General features: G+C 37.4%; 1 protein-coding gene across 3 annotated transcripts in view, besides 1 other annotated feature; it reads left to right on the plus strand.

Annotated features, from left to right (window-relative positions):
* Positions 10,294–10,383: an enhancer, noted in NCBI's record as "active region_21938". NCBI's record gives its function as "activates an Ori minimal core promoter by ATAC-STARR-seq in GM12878 lymphoblastoid cells {active_cell/tissue: GM12878}" and the evidence as "EXISTENCE:reporter gene assay evidence [ECO:0000049][PMID:35858748]".
* Positions 10,381–19,808, plus strand: part of IL15 (interleukin 15) — a 97,405-nt gene continuing 87,977 nt past the window's right edge. For 2 of the 3 annotated variants that reach the window (NM_172175.3, NM_000585.5), the window contains exon 1: positions 10,381–10,546. The gene's annotated coding sequence lies outside the window, so the exon portion shown is untranslated. Of the gene's footprint in view, positions 11,023–19,808 lie in introns of all 3 variants that reach the window. The other variant, NR_037840.3, reaches the window with a different exon arrangement.

The raw sequence follows: 19,808 nt of genomic DNA on the forward strand, positions 1-19,808 counted from the left end.
TGAGCATTAAAGTAAACTTTGCAAACATAAGATTTTCCTTGCCTGCTCAATAATCTCATTTCTTATTCATGTTTCAAATAGAACAAAACTGCCAAACCTTACCTTTGAAAGCCATTTTTCAGAGAAATTGCCTTTCAATATTGTGTGAGCTTCTGAGTTTATGCAATCAATAATAAACCTTTAAATGCTTTCTTGGAATATATAACACATTTTCTTGTTGTTTTGGATAAGAACCCAAATATTATATTACATTCACCTAAAATTTCTTTGCTCTTTCAGCTGCATGAGAATGGTTACTTCTGTGGTGTATTTTATTAATATACTATTTATTGACAACTCTTTCTTACACTGGACCAATGCTGGTTTTTGATTAGTTCATATTGGGGATATATTGAAACTTAATCTTTATTGTCTCTTTTAATTTAATATGTACAGCTGAAAAACTTTAGTGTTATCCCCGTCACTTGTCAAGGTATCTGTTCTGCATTCTGCCATTACTTGGATTTTTCATTAGGTAAGAATCACCTTATTTCCCTATGCTCCAGTTCCTCTCAAAATAAATTGAAATATAGTAAGTTTCTTTGTAGGACTTTTAGGACTAAGAACTCTTCCTGGCAATGTGTTTTAGACCACTTTAATGAGTGTGACCTTAAGTTTAAATTTTCAGATTCTCCAGCTGAATTTTATATGAGGATATCTTGATTGGAATAAAAAGTAAATAAAAGTGTAAACACCTATTCATACAGCACGTTAATTAAATTGTACAGCTATTATAGAATGCTGTTTTAAAGAATATTTACTGCTATTGAGAAATGTTTATAACTCCCCAACATTAGAAGCATTATAGTAAAATTTAAGTGCATCAAATACAGCACATTCCATGGCAAAAATAACTATTTGGCTGTTCTGGCTCTTTGCCCCTAAATTAGCCTTGATAATAAAGTTTATTCCAAAAGAAAAAAAATGTGTCTTCACTAGCACTTTGTAAGTGTGTTTTCTGCAATACAAGTTCTATAAAAGATTAATTGGTGTTCTGTTAAAGGGTTCTAACGCCAATAAGTTTGAGAAATAAATCAAATAAGATCAAACAGGATTTTAAAATTACATGAGACCCCAAAACTTTTAATGTATTGGTAGTCATTTTGGACCTTAAAGAGGGTAAAACAGTTTATACTGTGATGAAACCCAGTTATGTCATCTTTTTCTTTCTTTCATCATCAGTACATTTTGTGTTCTGTCCAAGAAATATTTGCCTACTCCAAGATTGTGAAAATTTTCTCCTATGCTTTTTTTTAAGAAGTTTTATCATTTTTAGCTTTTGTATTTAGATCTCTCAACCATTTTTAGTTAACTTTAAGTATGATGTAAGCTGGGAAATTTAGAGTATTTTTTCCACCAACACATCCAGTTGTTTTTACATCATTTGTTGATAAGATTATTCTTTCATTCTCTTACTTAGGCACAATTGTCAAAATCAATTGGCCATATGTGTGTGGGTTTATTTCTGGCCTCTCTAGTCCGTTCTATTGATTTGTCTATCTTTATGCCATGAATATACTTGATTATTAAAGCTTCATATTAAGTCTTGATATCTGGTAGTACAGGTCTTACAACTTTATTCTTTTTCAAATGTATTTGCCTCTGCTAGGTTCCTCATTTGCATTTCACTTTTAGTATCCCTTCATCAAGTTGTACAAGAAAGCCTGCTGCGATTGCATTGAATCTATAGATATCTTTGGGAAGAACTGACATCTTTACAGCATTAAATTTTCTAATTCATAGACATGGTATATCTCTCCAAGAATTTATGAGGGGTTGGCAAACATTTTCCGTAAAGAGCAAAGCAGTAAGTATTTTAAGTTTTGCTAAATTATTTGGTCTCTCTTGCAACTTCTCAATTGCAAAAGCAGCCATAGCCATATGTAAACAAATGAGTATAGATGTATTCTAAAAACAAAAGCAGAGCATGAACAGCAGGCCATAGTTTACCAACCTCTAATTTATGTCATCTTCAGTTTCTCTCACCAATACCATAGTAGTCCCTCCTTATCTGTGGAGCATACATTCCAAGACCTCTGGTGGATGCCATAACTGCAGATAGTACCAAACCCTGCATATATTATGTTTCTTCTTATATATACCTATCTAAGATTAAAGCTTAATTACAAATTAGGCATAGTAAGAGCTTAACAATAATAACTAATAATAAAATAGCAAAATTACAACAATATGCTGTAATAAAAGTTATGTGAATGTGTTCTCTCTCAAAATATCTTATTGTACTGTACTCACATATTTTAAACTGTGGTTCAGCTCGAGTAACAGAAACCTTGGAAAGCAAAACCACCAATAAGGCAGAGGACTACTGTATTTTGTAGTTTCAGTGTACATGATGTCAACTTTATGCTTAAGTATTCTGTATTGGATGCTTTTGTAAATTGTAGTTTTTAAATTTTAATTTCTTATTATTAATGGCTTAAATAAGAAATTATCATTGATGTTTACATATTTATCTTGTATCCTGGGACACTACTAAATTCACTTATCATTCCAGAAATTTTTGGTAGGTTCCTCATAAATTTGTTGTCTGCAAATATAGACAGTTTACCTATTTCTTCCCAATATTAGTTATTTATTTAAATATTTATTTATTTTTGTTACTCTTCATTGTCTAGGATACCCAGTTCCAGTTGAATAGGAGTGATGAGAGGAGACATCTTTGCGTATAGCTAACTTTGGAGAAAGCATTAATCTTTCTCTAAAAATAAGGTGTTAGCTGTAGACTTTAGGTGGATGCCTTTTATCAGGTTGAGGGAGTTTCCTTCTATTTCTATTTTGCTGAAGTGTTCTATCATGGCTGAACACTAAATTTTTTCGGATGGTTTTCTTCTTTATTCAAATAATATGGAAAATTACATTGACTGACTTTCAAATGTTAAATCAGCTACACATTGCATGGAAGATCTCTAGCTGCTCTTGTTCCTTATTATACATTTTTGGATTAGATTTGCTAATATTTTGTTAAGAAGTTTTGTGCAATGTTTAGAAAAGATGTAACTATATCTGCAGATTTATTTTCTTGTAATATCTTTGGTTTTGGCAGAATAACTCTGGACTTCTACAGTAAGTTAGAAAGTGTTTTTCTCCTATGTTTCCTTAAAGAATTTGTGTATGATTGGTATTATTAATATTTTTTCTTTAATTGTTTAATGAAATTTGCCATTGAAACCATCTGGTCCTGGAGTTTCCTTTGTGGGAAGGATTTTAATTATAAATTTAATTTCTAAAATAGACATAGATCAGTTTAAACTTTTTTTATGTGAGCTTTCATAAATTGTGGCTTTCAAGTTTGTCCTTTTTTATCAAGTTGTCAAATTTATTGCCATAAGGCTGTTTTTAATATTCCTTATTATCCTTTGATGTGTACAGTATATTAGTAATGTCTGCTGCTTCAATGCTCATGCTGGTAATTTATATTTTCTCTCTTTTTTCTTAATCAATTAGCTAAAAACAATTTAGCTAAAGATTTACTAATTGTATTGATCTTTTCAAATAAGTAACTTGTTTTCTTTCCTTTTCTTCTTCCATTACAGCTCTTGTTTCCTTTAATTTACTTTGTGTATATTTTTCTTTTTCTAAAGGTAGGAGCTTATTCTATTGATTTTGATCTTTTTGTTTGTCATACGAGTATTTATAACTATAAATTTCTAAAAGCCGTTAGCTGCGTCACTCAAATATTGGTATGTTTTGTTTTCGTTATCATTCAGTTCAAAGTATTTTATAGTTTCTTCTGTGATTTCTTCTTTGATCTGTTGTTTATTTAGATAAAGACTTGTTGTTTATCTTGGAAACTTGTCAGAACATACCTTAGGAAATTGTTAAGCACTGTTCTTGCTTACATTTAGGGTATAAGGCATGCTTAGAATATAAAGTATGAGTAGAGAATAGACTCAGGATTGAATCTATGTATATACACAATCTGTATTCCCCCACAGGTTATAGCAGATTTGATTTCATTTCAGAGAGTTATTGAGATCCAAGATGGTGTCACGTCGGAGGGAGTGGCATAAATGTGAAGGAGAAAGTTTCAGTATCAGAACAGACATGATGCTACAGGTCAGGAGAGCCTTTAGTTGAGGACATCAAGCTTGACGCATAATAAAAACTTATAAATGTGACAAAGCCAAAAAGCACACAAGTCTCAAATAAATAAAATAAGTAATCACGAAGAACTGCCATAATATGACTCTGCTATATAATTAGAGAATATTTAGCAAAAAATTATAGGATGTATGTTAAATATAAACAATGCAAAAGAGAGTAGCTTATTGGTATGGCAAAATTTATTGATGTGTTAAATAGATGGTAAGTTTGTAACCTGAAACACATGTTAAAGGTAGAATAAATGAAATATATACTAGAATGAACAAGCATATTACTTATAATAGAAAAGGATAGAAAGTTGTAGTTATGATCATGCCCTTTTCATGCAGGCATTTTTAGATATAATCTTTAAGTTGGCTATTATTGGTGACATCCAACATGGTCCCATTCTAACCTATTCACATGTTTTGTGTTCATGAGGTGTAGATAAAACCCATAGTTGTTTAGGAGGCTAATTGAAAAAGAATTTTGCTCCTATGTCTGTCTGATATGGTTTGGAGTTTTGTCCCCTTTGAATCTCATGTTGAAATGTAATCCCCAGTGTTGGAGATGGGTCCTGGTGGGAAGTCATGAAAGTCAAAGGGAAACCTTGGGGTCGTGAGGGTGGTTCCCTTATGAATGGCTTGGTGCCCTCCCCATGGTAATAAGTGAGTTCTCCAGAGTTCACATGAGATCTGGTTGTCTAAAGAGCCTGGCACTTCCTCTTTCCTCTCTCTTGCTCCTGCTCTCACCATGTGACATTCCTGCTCCCACTTCACCTTCTGCCATGAGTAAAAGCTCCCTGAGGCCTCCCCAAGAGCTGAGTAGAGGCCTTTGCCATGCTTCCTGTACAGCCTGCAGAACTATGAGCCAATTAAACTTCTTTTCTTTATAAATTATCCAGTCTTAGGTATTCCTTTATGGAAATGAAAACAGACTAACACACTCTCTGGGAGAGTGTGTGTTTTGGCCCTAGGTAACTTCCGTCTGTGCATTCCATTCTTATTCAAACCTCAGCCTTGGTCCCTGTCACCACAGCATCAGCAGAGAAGGTTGACATGGCAGAGACTGAGAAACATAGGGAGGGAGATAGCTGTGTTTATGTGAAGATTATATAATTCAGGATTTGGGTAGTGAGATCCTTTCACACAATTGTACCCTACACTTTGTGTTAACCTGGTACCCCATTTTTTTACATCTCATTGTGTGTTTTAAATTCATTTAATATACCATGTTATTTGGGCATCTTTATTTGGTCTGCAAGTTTTTCTATTCTGAGACTTTTAGGGTAGTAACTGGAGGCTACCATTTCATCAAGGTAATTTCCCACACAACCATAATAACAAAATCAATGATATTTTAGCCAGTGATCAGAACCCTATATTGATACTTTAACCAGTAATTAGAACTAATTTTAATATATATTATGAAGAAATTTTAGTTGACAATTTAATGAAAAGTGATTGTAGGATTAAACACACATAAACCACAGAATGAAGTTACACAAATATACAAATTATCAAATCATTTCATGATAATGGAAAGAGCTTTTTTACATACATACATATATACACACATACATACACACATATCTATAAGTTTCTAGATTTTGATTCTAGCAAGTATTTAAACTATGAAACAAGAGGGTTTTTTTTAACCAAGATTAATATAACAAATATTTATTGAAGGCCAACTATTTGCTAGCCATAGAGTCAAAACCAATGCCAGTTTAACTTTGTTAACATAAACCTATTATTGGTATTGACTTGATTTACACTTTTTGTAAAGGTTATTATGTGTTGTAAAAAATGCGTGAATTTTAATCATAGAACAAATTCAAGGAATATGTATTTGCCATGTTTTAGCCAATATATGTGAAGAGAAGTAAAATTCCTTTTTACAATTTGTCATTAAAATAAATGCTGACAAGATCCATTACATACATTTATAATATACTCTCAGATTATAAATCTAAATAGGTTTATTAATGTTTTGTAACTAGATTTTAATTGTTAAGGTCAACATTAAATGACTGTTCAGAATAGTACTGGTAGCATATGAACTTGTCACTTTTTTCTACTTAAGCCCCTTCCGCCCTACATTAAGTACCAATGCATTTAAGATAACATGTACTTTTAAATATATTAAAAATTAAGTATGTTATTGTGATGGTTAACATTGAGTGTCAACTTGATTGAATTGAAAGAAGCAAAGTATTACCCTTCGGTGTGTCTGTGAGGGTGTTGACAAAGGAGATTAACATTTGAGTTAGTGAACAGAGAGAGGCAGACCCACCCTTAATGTGTAGGCACCATCTAAATAGCTGCCAGCACAGCTAGAATAAAGTAGGCAGAAAAACAAGCAAGGTTTATACTTGCTCAGTTTTCCAGCCTTCATCTTTCTCCCGTGCTGGATGCTTCTTGCCCTCAAACATCAGACTCGAAGTTCTTCAGCTTTTGGACTCTTGGACTTACATCAGTGGTTTGCCAGTGACTCTCAGGCCTTAGGCCACAGGCTGAAGGCTGCACTGTTGTCTTCCCTACTTCTGAGGTTTTGGGACTTAGACTGATCCACCACAGGCTTCCTTGCTCCTTAGTTTGCAGACGGCCTGTCATGGAATATTACCTTGCGATCATGAGTCAATTCTCCTTAATAAACTCCCTTTCATATATACATATATTTTATTAGTTCTGTCCCCCTAGAGAACCCTGACTAATACAGTTATTATTGTTCTTAATCTCCAGCTTGAAACTAGACATCTTTTCTCCTTGTTTGTCATGGGTACACTCTGACATTTCAGTTCAAAGTCACCCATCTCTATCAGAATCTGCCAGCTCCTAGTTCCTCTGTTTCAAACCTGCAGCAATGTTCTGCCAGCATTTTGTCAGTCACTTTATTCAAATAACTTATGTTAGTAGCAGGGCTGCAATATCTATTGCAGTTTCATTACAGAAACTTAAGATGAGAAAGCAGAAATTCAAGGAAAACTGAAAAGTTTCCTGCCTGGTGGTGACTAAAGTTACCCTGAAGCAAACAAAATTGGACTAAGACATACTGTCTGGGGGTCCACGCTTCTTTCCTTATGAATTCAGTTTTAGAAACAGTGGAGAATGGCTGCCAATTTAAAGGCACCAGAGAGTAGGAATGTGTATTCAAGCCAGACTGTCTGAGTTCAAATCCTTGCTGGGTCAGTCAATTTCCATGTGATCTTAGGCAAGCTGTATAATTCTTTGGGCCTTGGTTTTCCCATTTGTAAAATGGAGATAATAATAGTTTATATCTCATAGCTTTGCTGTGAGGATTTAATAAGTTAACATTTGTGTTTAGCACAGCACTGGAGAAATAGCAGATTGGAGGAACTACAGAAGTCCTAACTAATACTGTTGTGGTTCTGAAAAAGCAGCAACTTGAGGAGCTCTTGAAAACCTAAATAGTATTTAAGGCCAAGAGTATCTGTCTATTGTCAGGATCACCAGAAAAAAATGTGAGAAGCAACTTCGAGGTAATGCTGCATTTCAGCATGCTTTACCCCGAATGGAAATGTAGAGAACCCAGGCAGGCCATGTTTTCCAAAGAGCAGGGGATCAACTTGTTCTTGATGGGAGGTTTAAATCTTAGTAAAACCATAAATAAGGCCACAGTCATGGACTTTGAACACTAAATCAGATGAAATAACTTGTAACTTCTTCCATGTAATCACAAAAGCTAGAAAATAAATTATTAGTAATTTATTTTAAAGATGATTGCCCAATTGACATTGTTTTTGAAAAAAGATATTAAAAATTTATTAAACTATAATTTTATTGTTAATTATTTGAATTCAGGAAGATTATTATGGTCACTTCTATGAGATTTAGTTAATCTCCACTTCTTTCTACCCTGTAATTTTATTAGTTATCTTAAGACAGTTTCAAATTATTTCATCAATCTTCATCTTTGCTTTTAATTTATGCAGCAGAATTTACTTGTTCATTGGTATGAGTAATTTTCAATATTTTGCCAAACAGCCTGTGGCAACTGAAAACACAAGTTGCATACATTAGACTTTTCTTTTTGAGTGCAATGCAACAAAAACAAATTATGTTGCAAACCCAACTTCATTGAACTGCAGGCACTCATAACTAATTAAAAATACTTTTAAAACATCTGTATTTATGAAAACAAATTTGACCAACATATTTGGGAGGCAAATAGTAGAGCAAAGCATATCTTATGACTATAATAATTTTTAGTTGTACTTTACTGTTATTTATGTTTTTTATCTCCCTACTCTGACAAAATGCTTTATATATCATTTAGTCCATCTTGTTCTAGAACCTACTATAGTTGAAACCCAATAAACAGTTGTAGACCAATTTTCTTACTGTTATATACTCAGATTATGCCTTAAGTTCACCCTACAAGTAAACTTTCCGTCAATTTCATAGTGTTGTGAAAACTCTCTAGTAGCTCAGAACGTTCTTGGTGGTCTCAATATATTAAAAGTATGCAGTCAGATACTGATGGCCCTGAGTCCTGCAGACAGCTAACAAAGCTGAAGCCCACAGGCTAGTGAGCACCAGCTGAGAGCACTTTCTATAGAGTTTGTGGGCAGTCCAAGAGAGACAGGATCTGAGATGTGATGATATGTCCTCTGGCAGCAGCAATATCTGATATTGAGCTCTGCTAGGTGGTGCTGAGCGTGGACACCTGCTTCCTTCACCGGCTGCAGAGAACACAGTATCCATTAAAGGAGCTGAAAGAGGTGCTAGAGGAGTTTACATGGCAGGAGTCCAGGAAGCTCTGCAACAGTCCAAAATGAGGTTGGGACACATGATACACTTGTTCATCCCTATTCTCTATCTTCACACATATGCATATCAGTCCTTCCGTGGCTGCTATATTCTTGTGGTGAGATCCAAACCAGCTGCAGTCTTGCTCTCCCAGTGCATGCTCATTCTGCAAATCAGAGCTTCAATGTATTGCTATGAAAAATTCTGACTGGTCTTGAAATCCATTGACACCATCACAAGAAAATTCAACATGACATCGTCATGAACAGAAATGGATGATGGCTTCATATTCTTAAATATAATTTCCAACTATGGTGAAATTTTGAATGGTTGTAAAAACTGTTTTTGCATTTTTATACCTCACTTATTTTGTTAATGGAGACTATCTAGAGTTTGATGTAATTCTCATCAAAAAGTCCATCAGTAATTATTTCAAATATAAAACTGATATCAAAAAATTGAGTTAATGAAAATAAACTCAAATTTTTCATAAAAATATGAAATTATATTATACGGAACTTTATGTACATGGAAAGTGAATAATTTCTATTATTTTTCTATTTGATATTTATCATATTTATGTAATTAAAAACATAATTAAATTTTAAACTAAATTAAACTGCGCTCCAGGAAGACATCATTTTCTCTGAACCATGACTCTGAAAATTTGGAAAGCACCGTACAAGAGGGATTTTCAGTGATTCACAAGAGTGCAAGATTCTGCAAAGTACTTTCAAAACTAAGCGTGAGATCTTTGCTACTGCCTTTATGGCATGCAAATCACTCAGCCTCAACTCAGTTCCTTCCTCCAATGTAAAAATACTACAAGAACAACATCTCACGCTTCCATCAAATGGGACCATGTGTGATATTTTACACTGGACTACACAATAGGCTGGAAAAGTGATCCGCAGAGAGGCTCATTGCTCTAAGTTCACTCCCTGTACCAACTGTCTTGCACAAAGCTGCCACCCGGGTGTCTTCTTCCAACATTTCCCCTAGTTGGACTTCAAAGTTTCCTTCTTGCAGCCTGTGCGGGGACCAAGAGGCCGGTCTAGAGTAGCCGCCCAGCATCCAGATCCGACATCCTTTTCCCTTTCCTCAGGAAGACTTGGATGCGCGCCAGCCCAGCCCGGGTCTCCAGGTTCAGCTGCGGAAGCTTCCCACATGGTGCCCGTCGCTTGGGATGCGGCTATCCTTGTGCCTTCTCTGCAGGTGTCCCGGCAGGTAGAGGAGGAGACCGGTGGCTGGTGTTCCTGCAGGGCGGGGCTGGGGCTCCTCGATGTCCTTGCGCTTGCCCTGCAAGTTCTGCGCCCCAGGCCCCGGCAGGGACGGAAACAGGCCGGGAAGCAGTGACACCTGGGGCAGTCAGTCATCCAGGAGCCGCCGCCACCCGCCCCACCCCCAGTCTCCGCGGGAGGTGTTTGTCTTCGCCTATGCTCCCGGCTCTTTCTCTTTCACTTTTCTTTTCGCCAGGGGTTGGGACTCCGGGTGGCAGGCGCCCGGGGGAATCCCAGCTGACTCGCTCACTGCCTTCGAAGTCCGGCGCCCCCCGGGAGGGAACTGGGTGGCCGCACCCTCCCGGCTGCGGTGGCTGTCGCCCCCCACCCTGCAGCCAGGACTCGATGGAGGTACAGAGCTCGGCTTCTTTGCCTTGGGAGGGGAGTGGTGGTGGTTGAAAGGGCGATGGAATTTTCCCCGAAAGCCTACGCCCAGGGCCCCTCCCAGCTCCAGCGTTACCCTCCGGTCTATCCTACTGGCCGAGCTGCCCCGCCTTCTCATGGGGAAAACTTAGCCGCAACTTCAATTTTTGGTTTTTCCTTTAATGACACTTCTGAGGCTCTCCTAGCCATCCTCCCGCTTCCGGAGGAGCGCAGATCGCAGGTCCCTTTGCCCCTGGCGTGCGACTCCCTACTGCGCTGCGCTCTTACGGCGTTCCAGGCTGCTGGCTAGCGCAAGGCGGGCCGGGCACCCCGCGCTCCGCTGGGAGGGTGAGGGACGCGCGTCTGGCGGCCCCAGCCAAGCTGCGGGTTTCTGAGAAGACGCTGTCCCGCAGCCCTGAGGGCTGAGTTCTGCACCCAGTCAAGCTCAGGAAGGCCAAGAAAAGGTACCGCAGCTCCCCACTTCCTAACTGCTCCCGTCCCAAACTCATTGTGGGCCGGTGCAGATGTCTGTGCGTGCGCGTCTATCCCTACCTTTGCAAAATCAAATTATCGCCCTCTTCTTTGCTTGCACACGTCTTCTGGGAGAGAAATTTGCAGGAATGGTCAGTGCTTGGCAGTCAGGCCTGGGTCTGTATTGGTTCCAACTCTGCGCCAGCCAGTTATCTCTTAGAGAAGCGATAGTGTATCTAGAATGTCGAAGGAACTTGGAAAAAATACGAGCGAATTTCACTGAAATAAAATCATTATTCAAGGTGGCTTTTAAATGAAAATCCAGCCAATTTTTTCAAGTGTTATTAAGACCGCATGTAGCAAGGGTATATAGTTCATTTGACTTTATGTAATTCCATGCATTAAAAACTATGTTGACTTCAAAGTATGTCTAAACCAAACTAATTCTTAAATGATGCTTACAACAGATTCTTAAATAGGATGAGTCAGCAATTTCAAAACTGGAAGTAAAGTGGTGGTCACCAGCTAGTTTCCATTATATATTTTTAAACTACTATCTAATATTATGATACTGGTGGTGGCCAACTAAGTGGACGTCATCCTTATCTTGTCAGTGTGGTGAAAGAGGCCATATTAGCTAGGCTGAATTTTTGCTCAGGTATTACAGAATAAACTGGTGATTATGCATCCTGCCATGTAGAGGTTATAAGGTGAACCATTCTACTGAAAGCATCAAGATACAATACACTTTTGGAAGGCCGAGGCGAGAGGATAGCTTGAGACCAGGAGTTCCAGTTTATAGTGAGCTATATGATCTGCCACTGCACTCCAGCCTGTCAAAAAATAAATAAATGAATAAAAAAGATATAATACAGGTTAAATTTTTAAACTCCTGTTGTTTTCGTGTGAAGTAATGTGGCCAACAGAGCAAGGAAATACATGGGAAGGAACATAAAGACATATAAAGAGAAGAACTGAAAATACAGCAAAAGCCATTTAGATTTAAAAAGTGAAGAAAAAGCTAGTTTTGCTTAAAGTTAACAAGTATCATAGAGATCTTAAGGTTTGTTATGATTGTCTTAGTTTCGGGTCCTTATTCGTGTAAAATTCTCACAGAATTTTAGTCAATCAGAAAAGTCTCTCCTGCAGTATCATCTGCTTTGCAACAGTGACAGAGAAGGGTCAGTTGACCATTGGTCTGGAACTTCTGATAGGCAGGGTGTTCCCATACTTTTGGTTTCACTGTTCCTTGCTGATTTGGAGTGGCAACTCCAGAACCTGATTGGAAGCTATAGTTCTGGTTGGAATTTTCCTGCAGACTACTGGTGATTAAAATGATGCTCTTTTGTTTTAATCCATGAAATTAATGTAGCCAATGTCAACAGCTATATTGCAAGGCACAATGTTTATAAATTTCCTTGGGGGATGGAGAAAACAGTGGTTTAAGGTTTATCGAAATAGATTTTGGAAGTGGAAGGTTTTAAAGCCTACGGGATACTCCATCTCAGATTTGCTGCCTCTGATGAATTTCAGGACAGCTAGAAGAGCAGCCCTGAAATGCTGGGTACATGTGGATTTTTCTCAGGAAAATATCCGTAACTTTGATCAGCTTTTTAAATGGGTCTCTGACCCAAAAGAGTTTTAAATCTTTTGAAAATATAGACTACTGTCCTTTTCCCCTCATCTCTCCTGGAGTTTAATGTTGAGTTCTGCTCATTGTGTTAACTATTTTTCTGAAGGTTAGCTGATCATAATACAGAGTTCTGTCTTCAGACCTATAACTTAAGTTATGAGAAACAGTATGAATAATAACTAACATTGTTGAGTTCTTATTATGTATCAGACATTGTTCTAAGGATGTATTTTTTAAAAACATCGTAATAAACTTATGTGGTAGGCAATATATTTTACAGCTGAGGAAATTATCAAGGTCACAGAGCTAGAAAGTGGTAGAGTTGGAATTCCAACTGAGACAAGTTTAAGACTGGTGGTATTTATGGAGGATGGTATTATTTGCATACAAATATTTCGTACAATTTGACAGTGATAATCCCTACTTATTTTCAGGCAGCGTTGTAATGGTAGAATGCCGGTTTTAAAGTAATGTTTGTATGGTACTTGTGCAATTGACATTATTATATATTTAAAGATTATCTTTATAATCAAATAATATTCATTTGAGTGTCAAATATGTGTTTGGTATATTGGAGAAATTTCCTTTATGGTCCCTGAATGAAAACATTTGTCTAATCTGCATCACTTTCTGCTGAAAGAGCCTGACAAATAGTAGGCAAATGTGGATTGATCTAGATATCTGTCTCTGCCTATCTATGTATCCCTTCTTCCATACAACTAGAAGTCTGGGATTCATGGAGAGGTCAGAGAAGAAGAGTTTCCCATAATATCCCAACTGGAGATGATATAGTTAACTATTTGGGACATCCTCTCTTCAGAAGGCATTATGGTAGAAGGTTTGGCAAGAAGCCACTTCTTTTGCTCGATATTAGCTCTTTGATTTACTTACCCGTTGATTACAGTAACTGCATGAGACTACTGACACTGAACATTGCTTAAATACTTGCTGCTGTCCTATAGGAATGGGTTGGATGGAAAAATTCCATAGAGGAGTTGAAGGAAAAATTGTTATTTTAGTGAGTACTGGAATGCACTAACACCTATTTGATGGTAAATTTCACTAATTAAATACTATCAACTATATGTCTATATGTGTGCATATATGACTATATGTGTATATATACTGTGTATGTGCATATATGTGTGTGTATGTATATATTGTACTGTACTATTTGTTAACAGCTGTGGGCAGACAAGGTTTACTTTTTACTCAGCTTCCAGACTGTATTGAATATATAAACATAAGAAGCTAAGAAATCTTGACAGAAAGCCTGAAGGACAAATTATTGTTATTAACAGTGCCATTCCAGTAGGAACCTAATGTGAATTTGAAAGTTTCAAAGAGGAAGCCTCTGCTATGTTTCAGCCACCATACTGGCACTTCATCTGTATGTCCTCATTGAATTTGAATAACCATTGCATTTTTATCCTGAATTTACAAAGAAAAAAAAAAAAAGACATGCAGAGTTTTGCTTGCATTAGGACACAACTAGGTAAGACAGACACTCCACTGAGATTTATCTTGATTCTAATGTTAATGCTCCTTTTCGGATATCATATGCATTCTCTTCTAAGAAAACTCAGGTGTTCAGTGTACTGACAACTAAAATGCTGCTATCCTTACCTTGAAATAGACCCTGGTCACCATTTGGGGTGATTTAATGCTATTTATGAATTTGCCTATGTCAAAGAATATTGCCCTTTTTTAAACAAACAAAAAAAAAAGTTGTTTAGTGCTGGAGTCAGAAAGAGGAGAAAAAGAGGCTCTTTAATCTCAGTTTAGTTCAATAATATTATTTGTCCACATTTCACATCCAGAGCCAGGGTATTTGTATGCATTTATTTTATAGTGTTTCATCCCACTGCAGGGGCAGAAGACTCTATGTAGACCGTATAAAAATGGATTTTTAAAAAGTCTGCATGTAATACACAGTTGTTTCTTCTCTAAATGCTAATAGTTCCTCCAAGTGCTGACAGGGTGCAGACAAAATCAGGAAAGTGACAAATTATTTTGTGAAATGAGGGAATTGAAACTGAAAATGGTTGTAGAACAGGAAAATATGATGGTTGTAAGGTTGATGGCGGTGGTGGTGGGGGTAAGCTCTGCTTATCATTGTGACACACGAAAGGAGCCCAGAGAGGGTCTTTGGTCCCTTATATCACTGAATGCTACTTCTCCTTCCTGGGTATTTTGCTTATGTGCCTTCTAATAGAAATCTGACAAAGTAGTCCTTGCACACTGTTAGCACTGACCTCTAAAATTATCAAATGATTTTTTCTTAATTGAACATTTTACTGTTAAAGATTTTCTATTTTCCTGACTCATCTGCAACAAAAATAAGTACATAAAACTTGATTTTTTATTTGAAGGATTTTCGTTGTGAAAATTATTCTAGCTTATGTTATTTAAAACACTATCATTATAAAATTAATCAAAGGAACCATTAATTTTTGATAAGTGATTATTAAGCATAAAACTAAAACATATATACCCAAAGGATTATAAATCATGCTGCTGTAAAGACACATGTTTATTGCAGCACTATTCACAATAGCAAAGACTTGGAACCAACCCAAATGTCCATCAATGTTAGACTGAATTAAGAAAATGTGGCACATATACACCATAGAATACTATGCAGCCATAAAAAAGGATGAGTTCATGTCCTTTGTAGGGACGTGGATGAAGCTGGAAACCATCATTCTCAGCAAACTATTGCAAGGACAAAAAACCAAACACCGCATGTTCTCACTCATAGGTGGGAATTGAACAATGAGAACACCTGGACACAGGAAGGGGAACATCACACACCGGGGCCTGTCATGGGGTGGGGGGAGGGGGGAGGGATAGCATTAGGAGATATACCTAATGTAAATGACGAGTTAATGGGTGCAGCACACCAACATGGCGCATGTATACATATGTAACAAACCTGCACGTTGTGCACATGTACCCTAGAACTTAAAGTATAATTTAAAAAAAAAAAAGCCGCAATGTGGTTTTCGAGCTTCTAGAAACTTAGAAAGGTGCTAAGTGCTAAGGAAATTTCTTGCATCAGTGCTTTGAATGTAAATTATTTTTGTTGAAAAGTGTGAATATCGCTACGTTTTGTGGAGTTTTGAAAACAAAACCTGTATTGGAGAATAATAATAATAATAATAAATAATAACGTGCTCTTGAAAAAAAAACTAAAACAATATTGGAAATATATATCATACAACTAGATATGTCAATGCTTTGATTAAAGATGTCTCTTATATCAACTTTTCAAATTGCCCCTTTATTTGGCACCCTGGTGAGGCAAGGCACATGTTAAGATTCTGGATAGGGAGAGATAGGCATTTTTTTCCTAAAGTGGGAGAAGGGTAATTATGAAAGAGGAAGTGAGGAAGGAGAACTTGCCAGAAATCTGCCTGCTTTGGGCACACATCAGGCATATCTCTGGTAAAAGGGGCTCCTATGGAAGTAACGGATCTTGAAATTGGTTCCTTTAGAACCGTCTATGTCCACAAAGCCCTGGGAAAGTTGTAGGGTATGCCAGAGGTGCGTGTTGTTCAGTTGGGATATATAGTTCAGCCTTCTTTCCCACACCCTCCCTTTGGCTTCTGGATTACCATGGGTTACTGTGCTTAAAGCAAAGTACAGGGAGTAGGATGGGGAGCAGTAAAGAGCCTGGGCTAGCTTCTGTAGAGGTTTCCCACTGGGGACTAGTGCGAAATAAGCTCTAGTAGGGCTTGGATAGCCTCTGCAGTGCAGTCTCCTCTTCTAGCCTCAGCTGCAGTCACCTTGCCTCAGTGTCCAGACACACTTGCCATTCTTTGTCAGCCTTCATGGGTCCTGCTCAAAATGTTAACCCTCTATAACTTTTTCTGTCCCCACCTACTGCCCAGGCAGAATTATTTTCTCCCTTACATGAATTCATTTGGTGCTGTCTACATTCCCTTATAACAGCTTTAATGTCTGTAAACTCATTTTTATGTGTCTGACTCTACACTTACATTTTGAGTAAGGGCAATGTGCTCCATGTGCTTAGCAGAGGGTTGGTCAGAGTCTATTTGTATTGACTTCAGCATGAGTCAATCATCTTTCAAGTGTTTGACAGCTAAGCAAACAACTGTAAAAGAGGTAGGAAACATAAGTAATATAGCAAAACAATGTTGGAATACTGTAATAAAAATAGTATTTTAGGGAAATTAGTTTGAGGTAGAATTTATTGAAGAAAAGACAATTAGAGATAAGGAAACCAGCTAGAAATTCATCACAGTTAATTCAGGAGTGTAGTTTCATTCTCATTATCTGCTCAAGGACATAACTCTAGTAATTCATTCTTTCTCTCCATCACCATTTTTTTCTCTGTCTCTTATGGGTCTTTCCCAATACCATGTAGCCATGCTATAACTTCTGCCATTTTTAAAAAAGACTCATGTTTTTCTCCTCATGTTTCTGCTCACTTCTATATCTGCTTTTTTCTGCCCACATTTTACAGGAAAACTTACAACCTTAACTATATTCTCTGTTTCCAGTTTTCCTCTCTCCTTTCTCTCCTGAACCAGCCAGGCTGTCATCTCCACTGCTCCACTAGAAATACACTTGTCAAAGGTACCACGAACATCCCTTTTATTAAATCCAGTAGTTAGTTATTGGGTCCCTTCCTATGTACCCTTTCAGCAGGACCTGAGAGTTCTTCATGTGGCTTCCAAGCCACTCCCCTTCTCCTTATTTTCCTTTTACCATACCAGCAACAATTTCAGTCTCCTTTTACCTTACCAGCAACAATTTCAGTCTCTGTCTAGTTCCTAATTTCCCTAACATGTAAATATAGCTGTCTGAGGGCTCAGTCCTTAGGCCTGTTCTCTATCTGTACTCTCTGTCTTGGTGATCTCATCTAGTGTCATGGTTTTTAATCCCTTCTTACATTGATGATTCACAAATGTACGGGTGAATCTAGCCATGACCTCTCCCCTGAACTCCAGACTCATTTAGCAGTCTATTTAGCTGTTATTCAACCATCTCTGATTGGATGTCTAATACTCACTGGATTCCTGCCTTTACTGCCATATCTGCTTGCTCCACCTTCTTCCTCATCTTACCTGATGTCAATTTCATTCTCTTAGTTCCATAGATAATCAATCAATCTATCTTGGGTTTGTCCTTAACGTCTCTTTATGTCATATTCCACGTTGAATCTGCCACCAAATTATTTAGCTAGGCCTTCAAAATATACCCTACATCCTATCTCTTCTCACCCTTTTTTTCAGTGCTGTCACCTGGGTTCAAGTTGCTATCATGTCTCACAGTATTATTGCAAAAGTGCCTGCTGCTTGTCCCCTTATCTCCACTCCAGCCTGTTCTCAACATAGCAGCCACAGTGTTTTGGTTACCTGTCCCTGCATCTAAAGGATCAACAGCCATAAAACAAGAACAAAACAAAACAACACCCCCAGAACTTAGTGACTTGAATAACAATAATTTGTTATTTATCGTGATCTTGTAATCTGGGCTACTTTCGGCTGCTTGACTCCTCCTAGGCTGCTGGAGATGAGACATTCAAGAAAGCATCTTCCTTCACATGTCTAGAACATCAGCTTGGATAGCTGGAAAGCTCATGGCTGGCCAAGCATCCATCTCTCCGTATGTGACCCCTATACATGACTAACTTGGACTTTACATAATGTTGGCCTCAAGTAGTTGTATCATTTAACTAATTATTGACTTTCAGGATCCCCCATAGCTTATCTCGTTATGGCATCAAACTCAGACTTTAAGTCTCTAAACTGGATCTCCAGATGAGGATGATATTTCTCTGATGTAGTTTCTTGAGTGCAGCAACCTGTAGCTAAAAAGATAGGTTATCTGTGACCTTCCCCTTGTCCCAACATACAATGGTAAAACAAAAATAGGACAATTGCTTTAAAAAAATACCATTTCAAAACAAGACAATAGAAGGCATATAACAGTTGCTAGTCCATAGCAAGTCTAAATAGAGCCGGCATATATCCCAAGTTCTTGCTCTGGAAGCAATACATGTTCCGGATTAAGGTTTAAATTTGTTCCCTAGGAGTGATCCTCTGTGGCTCTTAACTTCATCTTTTGCACTTTGGGCTCCTTTTCTCATTCTTTCTTTCTTTTCTATGAGAAATAATTTTTGCTATTCTTTGCAGTGGCGTAGCCTGCTTTCTGATGTTAGAGGGTTAATAATTTAGAGACCTTTTATATACTCACTTTTGTTTAACTGCTTTTTGTTTTTAAGTTCAATGATATTTAGAATTCGGGGGGCTTCCTATGAATTTTATTGAGATTCATTCACTCCGTTAGATAAAAGACATAACCAGAAAATCCTTGAGACAAGTTCCACTTTAATTTTTTGGGAAGTCAAGGTGCCATAGAAACCCTTACCATTTTTAGAAGCCTTTTGACTAGTTGGCAAGGTCTGTGAGACATCATTTTAAATCTTTCAGAGTTCTTAATGAAGGGCCTCCATGCCACACACCTGATTTGATCTCCAACCTGAGAGCACATGTAATAGTAGAGCCTGGATTTGATCTTTGCCCTGAAACTACTTATTTCTTGGAGAATCTTTTGCTGCCTGGAAAGGCAAGAATGAGAATAGGTGTTATTTTCCAATCTAGCAAGTCTTAGGTTGAACTATTTCGTCACTGCATTTCTAGCCTTCACTAACAGGGTCCTTGCCTCTCTCCAGGTGTCTTCCCACCACTCAGTCTCATAGTAGTTTCAATGTCAATTACTAATTTCCATATAATAGACTACCCCAACACTTAGTGGTATAAAATAAGAACCATTTTATTTTCTCAAGCCTAAGAATTAGGACAAAACACAAAGAGAATGACTTGTCTCTACACTGCAATGTATGTGGCCTCAGATGGTATGACTCAATGGTCAAGGGATGTCTGAGATGGCTCAGACATTAAGTCACACATATAGAGCCTCAGTTCTGGCTGTTGTCTGGGCTCCTTGGTTCTCCTCCACTTAGTCTTTCCACATGGCTAAACTGGACTTTCTCACAGCACGGTAGTTTCAGGGTTGTCAGACTCTTCACAACTTGGCCAACTTCTATAAGAGAGGAAGTTGGAGCTGTAATCACTTAAGGCTTGGATATGGAATTTCCAGACTTTAACATTTGTT

This window comes from Homo sapiens, chromosome 4, assembly GCF_000001405.40.
Source record: "Homo sapiens chromosome 4, GRCh38.p14 Primary Assembly".
Taxonomy (NCBI): Eukaryota; Metazoa; Chordata; class Mammalia; order Primates; family Hominidae; genus Homo; species Homo sapiens.